We start from the raw sequence: 18,807 nt of genomic DNA, 5'->3' as shown, positions 1-18,807 counted from the left end.
TCAGAGTGTGTTATTTAATTTCTATGAAGTTGTGAATTTTTCAGTTTTATTTCTGTTACTGATTTTTAACTTCAATCTGTTGTGGTCTGAGAAGATACTTTGTATGATATCTGTTTAAATCTATTGAGACCGAATTTGCAGCCTAACACTTGGCCTAAATTGAAAAAATGTCCCACGTGCACTTGAGAAGAATGTGTATTATTTAAATCTTCTGTTTCCTTAATCATTTTATGTATAGTTGGTCTATCCATTTTTGAGAGTGGGGTGTTGAAGTCTCCAAATATTATTGTAGAACTGTATATTTTCCCCTTGAATGTCATCAGTATTTGCTTCATATGTTTGATGTTCTGTCATTAGGTGTTTAAATGTTTATAATTATTATACTTTCTTACTGTATTGAAACTTTCATTAATATATAATGTCCTTCTTCATCTCTTGAATAATTGATTTTTATTCATACTTTTTCTTTTTTTGCTAGAAGAACTATCTGGATGGTGAAATTAAAGGTCATTTCTCCCTTACACTTTAATGTTTAAAAAAACTAATACATGTTACGAAAATTCAAACTAGCCTGCAGCACTAAAGAAAAACAATAAACACTTTCCAACCACACTTTCTTAGCAAAATGTCTTTTTCTTATTTTTAACAATGAGTTATTTCTCATCTGCTTAATCTCATCCTCCTAATTTTAGATGCAGTTTGAAGCATCGGCAATGCTCTAGTGTGTTTGTAATTCTATTGTTTTCTTATGTTCCATTTCTTCTACTGTATTTTGAAATAATCACCCTACCACTACTCAGTCCTCAGTCATAATAATATGTTTTTAGAGTCAAATCCAATCCAGTGCAAATAAAGTATCAAACCTACCAAAAAAGACCCTTTTCTCTCTTCTTAAGAAACGAAGAGTTGAGTGATGACATGCTCTCTTTGCCATGGGCATTGTTACTGAAGATATCAAGTTGATATATTCAGGCATTGCAGCAGGAAATAGGAAAGGTTTTCTTTTTTAATTCCTATTCAAATTATCCAAAGAAAGTAGCCCTAAAATGCTCTATCTGAGTCAGAGAGTTTCTGCCATTTATCAAATACATTGCACTTTATTGTAAGTCTGAAGGAATTATATTTGAAACTGACTGTAAGTTTGTAATAGGCAGATCCATTATAGTTTGTTTCACTAGAATAAAACATGACAATAAAATATCTCTGGAAATACATCTATCACAAGTTAGCTTCTCTGGAAGCAAATGATGAAATGGAACATAGCATGCTAGATGTTGATTAGGGATCTATATCTGTGGAAATGAGGAGGATAAAGCAGGATTGGTCAAAGAGAGAAGTCAAACTGTGGTGTAGGCCCACAAAGCCTTGGCCAAACCCACGGGAAGCTCTCAAGTGTACATGACATGAATGTGTCCCAGAGTGGATTAAATGGTTGGGACTTCATATCCTTGCTGCAATTATTTATTAGATTTGGGCTGTCTCAGGAAGGGTTTACCCTTGAGTGATGTAGCTTTCTGCAGCTGGGGCAATTCAGAAGGGGCCGAGAGCTAGAAGCTGACTGCTGAACTCCCAGTAGCTGGACAACAAGTCATTCAATAAATGGGAATCTGGGCAGTGCTTCTTCACACCACTACAATTTCTACTTAAGAGATATATCAACCAATTATAATTGGGAAAATTATTTCAATCCCGATGTGAGCAAATACAACACATTTTAAAAATAAGCATTTATGAGACAATCATGGAAACTTGAACAGGTGACTGGATATTTAATGATATTTAGACATTATTGTCAATTTCTAAGTTGTGTAATGGTCATATTTTGAAAAAGAATTCCTTGGAGATATATGCTGAAATACTTACAGTATTATAAATGATAACAGAGATTTGCTTCAAAATAATCAGGGGGTGGGGAGAATGGATAGAATATGGGTGAAACATAATTGGACATTAGTCAGTAATTATTCAAGTTGGACGATACCATACTCCATACCTTTATGTCTGAAACTTTCCATCATGAAAGTTAAAACACACACACACACACACACACACACTCAGATTTTGCTTAAAAGGAGAAAAAAAATTCTACTGATAGGACAAATAAGGCATACATTCAGAACTCTCTTTCCTTGGAAATCCCTTGATGACATTATGAACTGAATATGGGTAATTCCTCTCAGCCACAAAGTTCCTAAGAAATGGAATAGAGATTATTTCAAAATTTTGTATGGGAAACACCTAGAGAGTATTACTGGGAACTCATACAATGAAAACAAAAGTTTGACTTAATTCCAGCAGAAATTTCTGCAAAAGCTTCTCTATCTTGTCAAAATTTTGTTATGAAGGAACTTGCATGAATTTTCCTTCTATGATATTGTTTGTTTGTGGGTCCTTGGATAGGGCAGGGGGATGCTAAACCCTTTGTGGCACTTGTATCCAGGTAGGGCCATTTTATGTAGGTTAAACAGTGGGAAACCTTTATATGTGAAAATGCTTTTGTTCTGATGAAGCTAGTCTATTGCACAGATGAGACAAGTCACTATCACCACAGATATAGTAATTATTATAAAAGGGGCAAGAAAGGAAGAAATTGCAGCCACAATTAAGTTTTATTTTTAAATTCATGTCTATCTGTATATAAAGTCCTCAAATTGTCCCATTGATGGCAGTAATCAAAAATAGAAAACAGAAATGCACCATGCCAACACATATGTGCACGTAACACACACACACACACACACACACACACACACACACACACACACACAGACATACACAATGCAAGAGCGGTAGCTGATGGGCTGTGATGGTTCTTTCCAGCCCCAATTATGATTGATAGCATTCCATTACCTTTATGCTTATTTTAAAATCCCCTTGACACGAATTGATTAAAGGCACGGACCTCTATGAACCTATGAAAAATTTATGGATTTTGAAAGAGCTTTAACATGTACCATTTGAGCACGAATCATTTCCTGGCTGTCACTGTTTTTCCCACAATCTTTCTTATGTTGGTAATATATGTTTAATAATAAAAAACTGATGCTAAGGATTAAAGCATCAAGATGTTACAGAATAAAGCAACAACAACAACAACAACAAAAGAAATTAGATTTGTATGATTTTAACTATTCTTTAATCTGCTTCTGGGCAACAAAAGTGATTTGTGTCAGCCGTTATTGCATTAAACTTTAATTTTCTTCCACCGGCACAGGATTATATAAAGGAGTATTGGATTGCACTCAGCATGGATTAGCTGAGCAGTGTCTCTGCTGCCAAGGAGCAAATGGATTTCCTTCTTTCTTTGATTTATATTTTTATTGCTGTTTTCCCCCTCCTTCTAATTCCCATTACCCTTCTGTTTGCCAGCACTGAGATACCCTGTAGGAGCAGCAGAAAGGCAGGCAGAATTATTGGCTTATTGCATATATTTATGTTCCAAGGCCTCTCAGTCATCTATGTCAGAGGAATAAAGTAGCCTCCAGCCATGGAGACTGCATGCCAGTTTCAAACTATAATATTAAAGCTTGTTTCTAGGTAAAAAGTAACTTCTCACCTGCTTAAAATCAGCCAAACTAGCTGGGTTTGGCCTCACTTCAGATGTCCTGGCTGTATCTCACAGCAGATGGAGAAAACCACTGAGACAGAAAATAAAGATCCCAGGACTCCCTTTTACGAACAGGAGGGTATATGCAGCAAAGCCCTTGAGACTCAGGCAGGAGAAGCGTTCTCTGGCCTTTCCCTTTAGGGTCTTTGAGATATGAGATTGCCTTTGGAAATAAGAGCAAATAAATTCCCTCTGCTCAAGGAATGGAGGGCTGATTGTCGGCACTCCGCATGGAACCTAGAGGGGGCGCTAAGGACATGGCTCCAAGACCGTGGCGGAGACAATGATTGACTCAGGCTGCACTAAGCAGAGGACACAGAGGAACAGTAGCAAGTTGACAAGAGCAATGGTGTGTTCTGTTTAGTCTGCAAAGGTCTCTGGATTTCTGAAGAAGAAAATGAGTCCGACAGATTTCAGTTTTGGTTTTGGTTCTCACAGACTTCTTGAAAATAATGAATTCTTAAGTCTCAGAAGAGCGGCTATTACAGAGCAGCTCCACAGCAGATGCCACTTAGCAATACTTGGGAAGAATCCGAGCTGCGAAACTAGGACCTGGCTCTTCTCACAGTGAGTAGCCCCTGCACTGGGAGCTGAAATACATTCCCCCAGGGGAACCACAGTGGCTGTCCCAAGCCAAAGAAATATGTATGGATTAATAGAACCATTTCGAAGAGAAGAATAAAGATTTTTAAAACCACTGGCAGGCTGTTAAAACTAGACTGAGGCCTCACTGATGGAGCAAAGACGTTTCCATAGAATTCAAAGGGCAGAAAACCTTGTTCATGAATTCATCCTTAAGCATCCTTTGCATATAGAGCACACTCAAAATTTGGAACTATAAAAGTGTGGTTAGATGTGGCCATCTTCATTCAGACCTTTTAGCACATCTATTTGTGGACTAAATTAGATAGGATGGGTTTCCAAAATCAAGATCCACTTATTACTTGTCATTAATCCTTACAATTTCAGTGTATTTTTACATCAGATACAATGTTATACCTTAGAACAAACACTCAAAAGTTTCACTCTAAAGGTATACAATATCCAGCTCAGATATTCAATAAATGTTTGTCTGTTCTCCTTCAGCCCCATGATGCTATTAAGATATGACCCCAGTTCGGTTAAAGCCACTTTTTTAATAGGCTATGTTGATTCTTCATTAATTATAATTCCTTAAATGGAATCCATGCCACATCAAGTTCATAGCAAATTCCATTCTATATTGAATAAACTTATATTGAGGAACTTTTTGGAAAGGCTAAATTTGATTTCATCATTCCTGTTTCTTCTGATGGATTTCTGGACAGTGAATATACTTTTCACTTCTACTGAGAATGTTGACTTTTTTTTTTTTTTTGAGACAGAGTCTCACTCTGTCGCCCAGGCTGGAGTTCAGTGGCGCCATCTCAGCTCACTGCAAGCTCCGCCTCCCAGGTTCATGCCATTCTCCTGCCTCAGCCTCCCGAGTAGCTGGGACTACAGGCACCTGCCACCACACCTGGCTAATTTTTTTGTATTTTTAGTAGAGACAGGCTTTCACCATGTTAGCCAGGATGGGCTCGATCTCCTGACCTGGTGATCCACCGGCCTCAGCCTCCCAAAGTGCTGGGATTACAGGCGTGAGCCACCACACCCAGCCGAGAATGTTGACTTTAAAGGAGCTTCTTGTGTATAGACAATTCTCTGGAACTTTTTTCATAAGGGATTCTCTAGGCCTAGGCCATGTCACAGGAAAGTATACCTGAGGTTAGATAATCATAGCTCAGAGTCATCTGCATTTAGGATCTTTCCCAGTTAAGCCAGACCTCTATCATACTTTGCTTTGGGGACTAACAGTTACCTGTGAAAATGTCCCCTAAGATCCAATAAAAACCTACAATATATCAGAAAAAAGGATCTCATGCGGACAACGCTTAAAAAATATAACAGGCAAAGGAAATCAGGGTGATTATCTACTAAATATATCATATAGTAGAACAGGTTCCATATAAAAAATCATGGCTCATGCCTTATGCCTCAGGCATAAATTAGAAATTTGCTTTCTTTCTACCAAGTTGTTTCACTACTCAGCAATCTTTGCCTGGGTTGATACATACTGCTCTCACAGTCTCTTTGTTCTCCTCTAAAAAACAAAAGTCTTGAATAAGGATCACTTAAATTTAGTGACTCTAAGATAAGAATTACAAAAATAGTTTTAAGTATTATTTCATTATTTATACAAAACATTTATATCACAGAGTCTTAGTTGTGTTAATGAGGTAAAACTTTTAGGAGCTCCTATAAGTTTGCCTTTTTAACTAACCATCCACCTAGATACCAACTCTCAGGGTTAATGCAGTTGCCACAGGTAAAAGGCTTAGTCCCACAAGACTGACCCCACCTCAAACATCAGCCACAAATGGGGTGCTCAAGCTACCCATACTTTTTCTCAGAAGGCTACAAATTCAGGTGTTCCCATGATCCCCTCCTTAGGTTTGACAATTTGCTAGAACCACTCACAGAAATTAGAACAGTGCTTTGCATCAATCTATGTATATCAAATCATATTAAAACATTGGAAATTTATGCCTAAATTTACAGTGAATGAAATGTCTTTAATATACAGTTTTCATCTGAAATTCTATGTGGAAAATTGTTTTGTTTTACATTTGTCAGGTTTATGTTGCAACAACACTATGTAACAAACATCCCCCAAAACTCATTGTGTGGTCTTTTTTCTTTCATTCAACACTAAATATGTGTCATTTTTTCACACTAATTATCTGACACCAACTGGGTGTTCAATAATTCCCTGGAAATTCAATTTTGACACCAATTCTCAGGGTTAATGCAGACCCCACAGGTTAAAGGCTTAGTCCCACAAGACTGACCCCACTTCAAACACCAGCCACAAATGGGGTGCTCAGGCTACCCATTCTTTTTCTCAGAAGGCTACAAATTCAGGGGTTCCCATGATCCCCTCCTTAGGTTTGACAATTTGCTAGAACCACTCACAGAAATTAGAAAAGTGCTTTACTTACAATTACTCGTTTATTTTAAAATATACAGCTCAGGAGCAGCTAAATGGAAGAGATACATAGAGCAGAGTATTGGTAGGAAGTGGAGGGGGTGGGAGATGGAGAGCTTCTATGCCTTCTCTGGGCTGACCACCCTCCTGGCACATCAATGTGTTTACCAACCCAGAAGCTCTCTGAATCTCATAGTTCAAGAGTTTTCATGGAGGTGTCATTATGAAGGCATGATTGGTTAAATCATTGGCTATTGATGACTGAACTCAATTTCCAGCCCTTTCTCTTCCCCAGAGGCTGGGATGTGGGGCTGAAAGTTCTAACCTTCTAATCACATGATAGGATTTTCTGGTGACCAGCCCGCACCATGAAGCCATCTAGGGCACCCTTATCAGGTATATCATTAGCATACAAAAGATAGTAAATTCCAGGGATCTTAGGAGCTTTGTGCCAGGAATTGTCAATAAAGACCAAATATTTATTTATTACATATAACACAGTGGCTTATAAAAACAAATATTCTTTCGTCTGTCACAGATCTTTCTGCATGTGCATTTGGTCTTTGCAGAGCTTAGTGAGGATAACCTGGGCCTAGCCCAAGTTAAGGTTTAGCTGAGATATATTTGATGTATTTTCTCATTTGGGGCCCAGCAGTTACCCAGCATATGTTTCTATCATGGTGAGTTGTCTAAGCACAAGTGAGGTGAAGAGAAATGTGCAATGCCTCTTAGCACTTCGTATTAGAACTTGTATAGTAACCCTTCCACCCACATTCAACTGGCCAAAACAAATCACATGATCAAACCCAAAGATAATGGATCAAGGAAGTATCTCCACTCTGCTCACATGGCATTAGTTGGGTGAGGAAGGGGAGAAGGAAAATATTTTTTGACAAATAATACAATATACCAAAGGTCTTCAAACTTTTTCCTTAAAGGAGTCAAATAGCAAAGAGCATCACAAAAGTATGGCTATGTTCCAGATAGCCCATGGCTTATAGTTTGCTTACCCCAACAATATAACACAGTGTGCCCTATTGTCACAATTTTCACTCCTAGATGTAAATCAATGATACTCCAAGACTCATATTCAATCAGGATCAAAGTCTAGGATCTTATGACAGTATCTATATTGGACTGATTTGGCAACTCATGATCTAGAGACTTATGAATTAAAGTGGCAAGTCATCTGCTTGTATATATGGCAAGTCATACACACAAAATGAAAAGAGATACGTTAACTGCAGTAAACATCCTCATTTGGAAAAGAATTGAGGGCACAAGTCCCACTGAGAGTGGTAAATCACCCTGATTAGATCCTAGATACAACTTCTAGGAGTGACTCCCCAGTCCATTGTTCAACATGGTTCTTCGATCCACCCTTCGATCCATCCACATCTGAAAAGACCATCAGAGAATATAACTTTCTTAGAACTTAACCAGCTTCCTAAGCCTGTTTCTTGCCTGTATAAATTTGGAACCCCAATGTTCTCTTTTATTGTTCATTCTTAAATTCAGCCTGATGTACTTTTGTAATTTTTTTTTAGGCAATGAGTTTGATCCAGTCAGCCCTATATGTCAAAAGTCATACCCAGAATTCCTTTTGCAGAATCTCTCTCTCTCTCTCTCTCATTTCCAGGTCCTTTGGCTATATCTTCCTCCAGTGATATTACACCTTTCATCTCCAGTATAGGAGGCATTTTGTCCAATTATAATGATCTGCTGAGCCCCATATTAAGCCATTTAGAGTTTCTAACTGAAGATATGATAACTACATCCATATTTTGATGTTTGCTGTGGAGCCATTTCTTTAAAATTGAGTCCCTGATGTGGGATATAACCATGAAACTGAGTCTTAGAAAGCCTTTAAACTCAAAATATTTCTTTATTTTATCTTCAGCTTGTGAAGATAAAAAATATTTTTTTTTTACTTTCTAGAAGGTTTAAATTCTAGAGTTTCTGATCATTCTATATTCCCTTTCAATTTTGATTATTTTTTTCTATGTTCCTCTCTTGAGGCACCACTCCAAATGAAACTAGTAATAATCAGCTCATCCTATCAACAATTTGCATCAAAACTTCTGTACCCAATGCACAGATAAGACTCACTTTAGATCCAAAGAGAAAAATTGGTTGAAAAGATGGAGAAAAGGTATTCCATGCAAGTAGTAACCAAAAAAGAAATGGGGTGTCCATACTAATATCAGATAAAACAGATTTTATGTCAAAATTGTTACAAAATATTTAGAAGGTCATTATTTATGATGAGAATGATAGTTCATTAGGTTTCAGTTTTACCAAGTATTTCACCCCCAAATACCATGGATTGCCATTTATAGGTTATTTACAACAGTTTCCTCACTATCTCATTCCAAAGCCAATGCCCTATATTTTAGGTTGTTGTCACGGCTACATGCCATTCTTTTTAAAATTTCAACTTCTATTTTAGATTCAAAAGAAGACATATAAGCAGCCAACAAATATATAAAGATGCTCAATATCACTAATCATCAGAGAAATGCATCCCATCCTTACTACCATTTTTTGAATAAAGTTTTGCTTTAATAATGATGCCTAACAAACATTTGTAAAATTCAGTGGTTGACAATAACAAATGTGTATTTCCTGCTGATTATATAAAGTTGAGGAAGTTCATTACGGGTAGACCTGCCCTACCTGAAATACTAAAACTTTCAGGTTAAAATGCAAATAATTTAGATAGTAAGTTGAAGCTATATGAAGAAATAAAAACTCCAGGCCGGGCGCGGTAGCTCACGCCTGTAATCCCAGCACTTTCGGAGGCTGAGGCCGGTGGATCACCAGGTCAGGAGATCGAGACCATCCTGGCTAACACGGTGAAACCCCGTCTCTACCAAAAATACAAAAAATTAGCCGGGCGTGGTGGCGGGCGTCTGTAGTCCCAGGTATTCGGGAGGCTGAGGCAGGAGAATGGTGTGAACCCGGGAGGCGGAGCTTGCAGTGAGCCGAAATCGCGCCACTGCACTCCAGCCTGGGCGACTATTGTATTTTTGGTTGGTAACTCTTTTTTTGTTTGTTTCGTGCATAATTTAAAGGACATACTCATAAAACAATAGTTATATATTAGTGTTAATGGGCATATAGGTATAAAGGTACAATTATGATAATAAATACATAGAGGGTGGGGAAAAATGGAGCTATATAGAAGCAAAGTTTTTATAGAGCTATTTAGTTTTATAGAGCTATATAGAAGCAAAGTTGGTATCAATTCAGACTAGATTGTTATAAATTTAGGATGCTAACTTTAATCCCCATGCTAACCACTAAAAAATAACTAAGAAGTATATAGAAAAGGAAATGAGAAGGGAATAAAAATGATACACTGAGTAACTAAACACAAAACCAGGCAGTATTGGTATAACTGAAGAACAAAAAAAAATGAAAAACATATAAAAACAAGTAGCAAAATGCCAGAAGTAAGTATTTCCTTACCAGTAATCACTTTAAACATAAATGGATTAAACCCACCAGTTAAAAGACAGAGGCTGGCAGAATAAATTTAATAAATAATTCAAATATATGTTGTCTACAAGAGACTCACTTTAGATCCAAAGACAAAGTAGAGTAAATTTTAAAGGATGAAAAAAAATATTCCATGCAAGTAGTAATGAAAAGAGTGCTGGGGTGCCTATATTATCAGACAAAACCAATTTCGAATAAAAATGGTTAGAGAAGATTTAGAAAATCATTATTTATTTGGTAAAAATATCAACACATGAAGAATACATAAAACTTATAAACATGTACCAAAAATACAGTCCCAAAATATATGAAGCAAACATTGGCAGAATGCAAACCAAAGCCACATGCAATACTACTTTGCATCTACTAGGAGAGCTGTAATTTTTTTAAAAAAGGAAAATAACATGTGTTGGCAGGCATGTGGAGAAACTGCAACCCTATTAGATTGCTGACGGGAATATACAATGGTTCAGCTTCTGTGGGAAATAGTTTGGGGCTTCCTCAAAAACTTAAACATAAAATTGCAATATAACCAGCATTTCCACTTTTAAGCATATGACCAAAAGAATTAAAAACATAGACACAAATACTTGCACATGAAAGCTCGTAGCAGCATAATTCATAATATTCAAAAGGTGAAAATAACTCAAATGTTCATCAATGAGTGAATGAATAAGCAAATTATAGTATATACATACAATGGAATATTATTCAGCCATAAGAAAGAATAGAATATTTCTGGCACTTTTAGTCTCAGCTACTCAAGAGGCTGAGGCTGGAGGATCACTTGAGCCTAGGAGTTCGAGGGTATAGTGTGCTATGATCATGCCTGTAAGTAGCCACTGCACTCCAGCCTGGGCAACATAATGAGACTTCATCGCTAAAAAAATTTTAAAAAAATCAATAACGTCAAAAATTAGCCTAAAAATACAAAAATTAGCCAGGTTGGGTGGCATGCACTTGTAATCCCAACCACTTGGGAGGCTGAGACAGAAGAATCGCTTCAACCCAGGAGGCGGAAGTTGCAGTGAACCGAGATCATGCCATTGCACTCCAGCCTGGGCAGCAAGAGCAAGACTCTGTCTCAAAAAAAAAAAGACAAACTACCAATACATATAACGCGAATGGATCTCAAAAATATTTTGTTTTGTGAAAGAAGCCAGATTCAAAAGACTACAAACGGTATGATTCCATTTATATAAAATTCTAGAAAAGGCAAAACTATGGTAACAGAAAACATTTCATAAGTTATTAGATGCAAATATCATGGGAGTAAATTGACTGAAAAGGGGAATAAGGTCACTTCTTGGGATAATAAAACTGTTCCATATCTTGATGTTAGTGGTGCTACATGACTGTATATGTTTGTCAAAATTCACTGAAATTGAAATATCTAAAATTAGTGAATGTACAGTATGTAAAATATACCTTAAGAAAATTAATTTTTAAAAGAAGGAAAAAAACCTCTTTTTGCTAAACTTACATAGTGGTTTTTTTTTTAAATGCCCAACTTAAATCTTTATTTAGATGTGATATAGTAAAGTTCTTCCAATGATGGCCATAGAGATTTTCTAGAGTTGAGAGAAATCTTTTACCCTTTTGACTCAGGTGCTAAAGGGGACTATTAAGACGAATATGCCTTCTGTGCCAATGGAAGATTGAACCACACAATATATTCAACCATATGTTCTCATCTCAGCCTGACCATCTGCTGGCTGCACAATTAAATATATCATCTAGTTCACTGATTCCCATTTGAAGAAAAACTATGGGGTAAAAAAGACATATCCTATAAAATACTTAGTTAGCTAATAGCTATGTTGAAAGAGTCTAAGTACACTATCTTCCAAGAATAAACCGTGCACCCTGGGGGAAATAAATTCATTCAAGGTATCAATGTAACTCTGAGTTTGGAGGAAAAATGCTTTTATATCTACAAAAAAGAAATGGAACAGGAGTTGTGTCTCAAAAACTTGACCCAAGACAATCAAGAGGGCAAATCTATTTGTCTGATGTCTCTAGATTGCCCTTGAGGAGAAATTAGAGAAAAATTAGAGTTACAGCTATCTTCCCATTGCCACTTTGATGTCTACATTTCTGTCCTTTTGAGAATTTTTGTTGTTAAGGTAAATAATCTATATATATGTACTTCTAACAATGATGTAAAACTCCATTTTTACACTTTCTTGGTATGAACCATGATTTTCCCTGAGCACTTGTAGAAAAAAATCTTGGTCTTATTTCCCTATTTCTCCAAAGGCAGAATTAGATAGTTTGTTTTGCTTAAAACAGCTGGAAAATAACTGCTATCTGTTTGCCAGCCTACTAAAGATGTGTTAGCCCTGTTGCTAAATCCCCAAAGTTCATATCTATGAGAGTGTGTTAGTTCTTAACTAAAATGACATCTACAAAGAGACACATTATAATTCAGTCTCTTCATTCATTCCAAAAACATTATCATCAGGGTAAAGGTTCTGACGTTTGCAAAGTTAAATATACGACTGCTTCTTGAGAGATGGTCCTAATTTCAATCTTTTGCATATTTCATCTCAGCTGCTTCTCAGGATCCACTTCTTTCCCCTGCCAGTGGCAAATGGTGCCCTTCAGACGTTATCCTTTTCCCAATCCAGCACTTAGGACGTTGCAGCCACTCAGAAAAGCAGCCTGTCAAAGACTAAATCAGAAAGGATGGACCCTGCTGTTTTCTTCACTTCAGAGAGAGAATCCCCTGGGGTGACTTTAAGACACAATGTTCACCTGTCATTTCTAGCTCATCTGCAGAATCCACTTGTGGTGCTTTTCACATTCTCAGGTAGTCACATTTCTTTTCTTGTGCCTTTCGTTTATGAAAAATGAAACACCCCACAGAAGGTGAACCCAGAACTCTTTATAAAACGAAATTCAGCGAGGTGCAGCTAGCAAATGAATAATCTGCTTGCACTGCACTGCTTTCAAGCAGGCTTAAAATAAAGCAGTTTATAAGGCCCAAATAGAATTACAGTATAACAGACTCAAAATCCGTCTCTAAGCCCAGTGTTCAACCTAAGAGGGAAAATTCCAGAAGGGCTGCATGTTGAGCTGGCTCAAGGTCCGTGAAATGCTCAAGAAAGAGATCATTTTCAGTACCTCCTTCCACAACCTCTCACTACTTGTTAGGTGCTTTAGCTTATGATCATGCAGGGGACCTCAGAACTGAGAATTCTTGCTAGGCACAAGGTTTAAGAAGGGAATATCTTAGTCTAAGTTTGAATATTTAAATTATTTTCCAGAAGTGCACTCAAATCGGCCTACTGCAACTGAACATAATTCTTTAAGCTCATGATTGCCTAACCTGCTAAGTGCACACTCTAGCCCTCAGAGTTCCTTCCAGATGAGCTAAGTGCTTTCCACATGCAAATTTCATGATTAGAGATAGGCTTTTAATGGAACAATTCTGTAGCTCTATGATGTATAAAAACACTGGAGAAGAGGGGACCACCTTCTTACAACCTGGGACCGTTGAAAGGTTGCCAACCTCTTTAGCAGAGAAAAGTCTAAAATGCCAAAAAAAAAAAAAAAAAAAAAAAATCACAGCTACTAGTGGTCACCTGCTTGATTGAACCAAACACTCACTCCCTTTTTGTTCCGAAGTCCCCCTCCCAGACTAGGTCTGTTCAACTTAGGCCCTCCTAATTAGATGTCCTGCTTTTCAGAGCTCTCCACTCCATCCACTCTGCATGCCATTGAAAGATAAGTCTTTAATCCAGTGCCTAATTTCTCATTGCTTTGTCATGTGAGGTTTGCTTTCCTGACACATTCAGAATATCTTGAAGACTGACCAGGATCATGATTTAGACACTTTTTCCCCAAGCTCTTCAAGTTATCCAGTATAGTGCTTATGAATAGAGCATGGAATATGTAAATGATAGAGGCCCAAGGGAAGCAGGAAGCTTCAAGATGAGGCCTTTGGTCTTCACAGAGAGCAGAGGAGATGTCTTAGTGAAAAAGAAAACAGCCAAAAGGAAAGTGAGTCATCTGCTAAGAACCATTCATCCACTCATCCACCAAAGACTTAATGAGCATGTGTCGTGAGGCAGAGTCACCCAATACCAAATAGATTATATTCTCATTCTAAGAACAGTAAGAATTCCTAGCATTTGAAGGTATTCATAAGACACCTTCCCTTTGCTCTTTTTATGTTACATGGATTCTCAAGAATAAAACTAGTGATCACGGGAGAAATGCAGTTACAGTTTGATGTAAATGAACCAGAAAGTGCTTGCTCTGAGCAGTTGCTCACAGAGAGAGGAAGCATCTTATTAACTTTGCTGATGGCCCTTTCCAACATTGTCCAGGGTGTGACACATGAGCCGATAAAGTGGATAAAAGCAGAGTGATGGCTCAAGAAGTGAGTTTAGACCAGGCCTGGGATGAGCACCAGGCCCACACATGTTCTCATTAGTGGTCTCAAAATTTCACCAGCTCCCTGATATGAAGAATGCCTAGTTCATACAAATCACATTGTGTATATTCTGAATTTCAAGACAAACATTTGCATCTAACTTTCCTGTTGGCAAAGTAGACCAAGATCATTTTACAAATGTGGGCTTCATTCTCCAGGTGGTCTTTTGCTACTCTTCTAAATTTCCAAATTTAAAAAATGCACATATTGTTAAGGTGAAACACTTGCATTGAGTGGACACAACTACTGTTAACTTTTTTTTTTTTTGAGATGGAGTTTCACTCTTGTTGCCCAGGCTGAGGTGCAATGACATGATCTCGGCTCACTGCAACCTCTGCCTCCCGGGTTCAAGCAAGTCTCCTGCCTCAGCCTCCTAAGTAGCTGGGATTACAGGCATGTACCACCACGCCTGGCCAATTTTGTATTTTTAGTAGAGACAGGGTTTCTCCATGTTGGTCAGGCTGACCTCAAACTCCCCACCTCAGGTGATCCGCCTCAGCCTCCCAAAGTGCTGGGATTACAGGCGTGAACCACCGCGCCCGGCCTTTGTTACTATTTTAATGCCCTGATTGCTATGAGGAAAAAAGGACTTAAAAAATTAGGACAGAGATCTATTTCAATCCACTATACCATCACCCACTCACTCATGCTATGGATGCCCAGTAAATAATTGATTAATTAAAGTGTCAGGTCTGTTGCTTAATTAAATCAACAAGTTATTGAACAGGAATATTCAATTATGTACCCCAGGTAAACAAAGCTTCAGGTAACACTCCAAGACTCCTTCCACCCTGGAGCAGTGAGCAGGACTTGCAGCTAAGTCTCTAGCAAGCTTAATGTTTTCTGCTCTTTACCCTGGACTTCAGTCAAATCATCAGTTGTCCTTGTGCAGAAAGCACTATGATCACCAATATGATTAATAGGTCCTTTATTCTGTGGCAGGGCTTCCTAATGCCAGCTTTCAATGAGCTTTGTAAATGTCTTTTTTATGCCCTTCATTGAACATGTGCCTATGAAGTTTGAGTAAACAATGTGCATTTGAAGATGTAGACCATATTGGCAAATACATTCCTCCCACTTTTGAACTAGTATTCCTGTGACAAGGCAAAATTACAATGTTCCCTGACTCTTCACTGCCAGTTAAATTTTTGAGTTCATGACACCTTAGTGATTAGACGACACATTTATTTCACTTTAGCACCTGAACAATGATAGCACAGCACGGAAAGGACTTAAGGGATTTTCCAAAAGAAAAAAAAAGCTGTTGTCTTCTGTACTTCATGTTCTCTGCAATTGATTGTGAGTAAAAGGACAGGCAGTGCTTTGCAGCTTGCTGTACACATCTGTAAACAGGAGACAGATAAGTCTTTCAAAGTGGTCCGCAGTACATGAATGTTGCTCCAGTTTATGAATGACTGAGCCTCTCTCTCTGAGCTGAGAAAGTAGGCATAGGATATTGTATGTGAAGCTCTCTCTTTTGGATCACTCTGTCAAGAAAAAAAAAAAGCTAATCTGGAACAAATCACAAACTGTCCCTGTAAATCAACGCTTGGATGAGCCCTTTGGAAGTGTGGAACAAGATAAGAAGTAAGAACAACATTCACTCTGGTGAATACCATTGTGATCCACTCTGCAGATTTCAGGTTGAACTGCTAGTTTGTTTGCTACAGAGACATTTTACCAGAGTAGCAAAGTCCAGGCACAGGCATGTGGGAAACCAGGTACTGTTCTGACCTTTTGAAAGTCCTCCAGGGACTCCAATCTAGACTTGTTTTCTACTTAGTAAGCTCATAGCATTAGACCAACATCCTATGGGCCTTAGAAAAAGAAAAGCTAATTTATTGGTTATTTTTGTCTGTCCATTGACTTATTGCTTAAACATTATATTTTTCTTACAGAAATATTAAGGATGGCATCATATTACAATAAAACAAACCATTTATTAAAATATTTTTCTTAAAATTATATATCTATATACACATTTGTATATAAACAGACAGTGTGTATATATGCATGTGTACATACGTTCATATGTATATATATGTATGTATGTAGGTTTATACCCACACACACTTTTTAAATACATTTTTCACACAGAAAAATTCACAGCTATGTACATCTGATCTCCTTTTGACCTAGTTCATTGTAAAATACCATAAACCTGGCAGATGAGGGTGACTAATTTTCACCTGTGGTGAGACTAATGCGTTTACACTTTAATATAGCCATTTGTATTTTTTAAAACCAAATAAACTAAAATGAATGATCCTGCTCTCTGATCAAGAATATTGGCTGCATAAACCAAAAATACAGAAAGACACAAAAAAAATACAGATGCAATATTCTCAAAATATAAAAAGTGACAAGTTATTTAAATAATTGTCTCATATATTCAGAGTTTGGGAACTGTATTTGTTTGGTTATTTACAGAGTACTGATTCATATGCTTTTTCCATGTTAAAAAAAAATGCATTGATTCCTAGCCACCAAGTCCCTGACTTATTTTAGTAGATCTTCCTTCTGCAAAATGGTCCCTTGGTGATTCTGAGGATGAACACTAATATCAAGAGATAAGAGATTGAAATTTTACCATATGTTAGAACATGTGTACAGTGGAGCTTTTCTTGGATTGAATGCTGTCAACATGGGGATTCTTCAGCTTCAATGTGTCATTTCATCCACACCTTAAGCCCTCAGCAATGCTTTCTGTCCTTTGTTTTCATTTTATGAGAGGGGCCCTTCTCACGCAGATGTTTCTAAAACAAATTATATACCAAGATTCAAATAACTCATCACAATCGAGGTTCACTGCATTTCAATGATTCTCTAATATTTGCCACACTTTTAACTTTGTTTTTAGCAAAGTAATATGTGTTCATGATTTACATAATCAAATACTACTACAAGGTATTTTAAAAAGTTTTCCCTGACCTACCCATTCTCACCCTTGATTCTCGTTTTCCAAAGGCAAACATTTTCGGCATTTTCTTCTGAAATTTACCTCCATATTTTTAAATAACATTCTTACTGCCCTTTTCTTGATGTTTTTCTATTATAAAAAAACAGAAAAAAAATCTGTTTTTATGGCATACATTATCTTTCAATTTGTGGCATACATTATCTTTCAATTTGTGGAACAAATATGTGGAAGTAGGATCTCAGCTTCCTTACAAATCCACCCCAAAAAGACATACTCACACACCACTTTTTTTATTGTAAAACTATGTCACAATTTTTAGTTAAACTAATATTCATAGCGCCTTTCTTGTTCAACTTTTTGTTTTCTGTGGAGTAAATAATTGTTGTTTTTTGTTGTTGTTTTCCATATATCTATAATTAATATATCCCCAAGAGTTAAAGCTTTTTTTAATAGCCAATACAGAGATGGAAAATTTTTTCTATAGAGGACTGGAGAGTAAATAGGTTAGGCTTTGTGAGCCACATGGTCTCCGTTGCAACTATTCTACTCTACCATTGTAGCAGTGTAAATTACTGGGCAAGGCTGTGGTCCAATAAACCTTTATTTACAAAAATAAGAGGGATTGGGGGCTGGATTTGGCCTGAGCCTCAGTTTGCTGACCCCTGGTCTTGTATCAGGTGATCTATCGGTTTTTTTGTTTTCTTGAAAATATTCCTCCCATACATTTTGATTCTCTTGCTTTAATCTGGACTTGAGATTGTGTACAACTGCTGCAAAGCCATTACCTGACATTTCCCCATACCTCTCTCCTAGGTTGAATCCTTTCTTTCCTCACTCTCATGTCTTTCTTGCTTTCCATCATCCTTTCAATAGCTTACCAAGAAAAAGTGAATTGAAGGTCAATTGTTTGAGACCATGCAGGTACCTCAAATGACTTTATTTTATCCACATATATTTTTGATACTTTTACTGGGTATAGAATTCTAGGTTAGAAAGAATTTTCCCCTCAGAATTTTGAACCATATCTTTATTTCTTTGAGCTTCTAAATCTAATTGAGAAATATGATTTTATTCCAAGTCTTGATCTTTCCTATGTGACTTATTTATTCTTACTGGCAGCCTTCAGGATTTTTCTCTTTTTCTCCAGTGTCTGGAAATTTTATGATGATGCATATTGTTGTTGTTCTTATTTCTACCAATGTATTGGAGAATCAATAGATTCTTTCAATATCAAAATGTATGGCTATCATTTCTGGGGCATTTTTTTGGAATAATTTTTTGGCTAATTGTCTCCAATATGATCTTCTTTTCTGGAATTCCTACTACTCAAG

The sequence above is a fragment of the Homo sapiens genome, chromosome 9, assembly GCF_000001405.40.
Source record: "Homo sapiens chromosome 9, GRCh38.p14 Primary Assembly".
In the NCBI taxonomy this organism is placed as follows: domain Eukaryota; kingdom Metazoa; phylum Chordata; class Mammalia; order Primates; family Hominidae; genus Homo; species Homo sapiens.
This window is presented reverse-complemented; position numbering follows the sequence as displayed.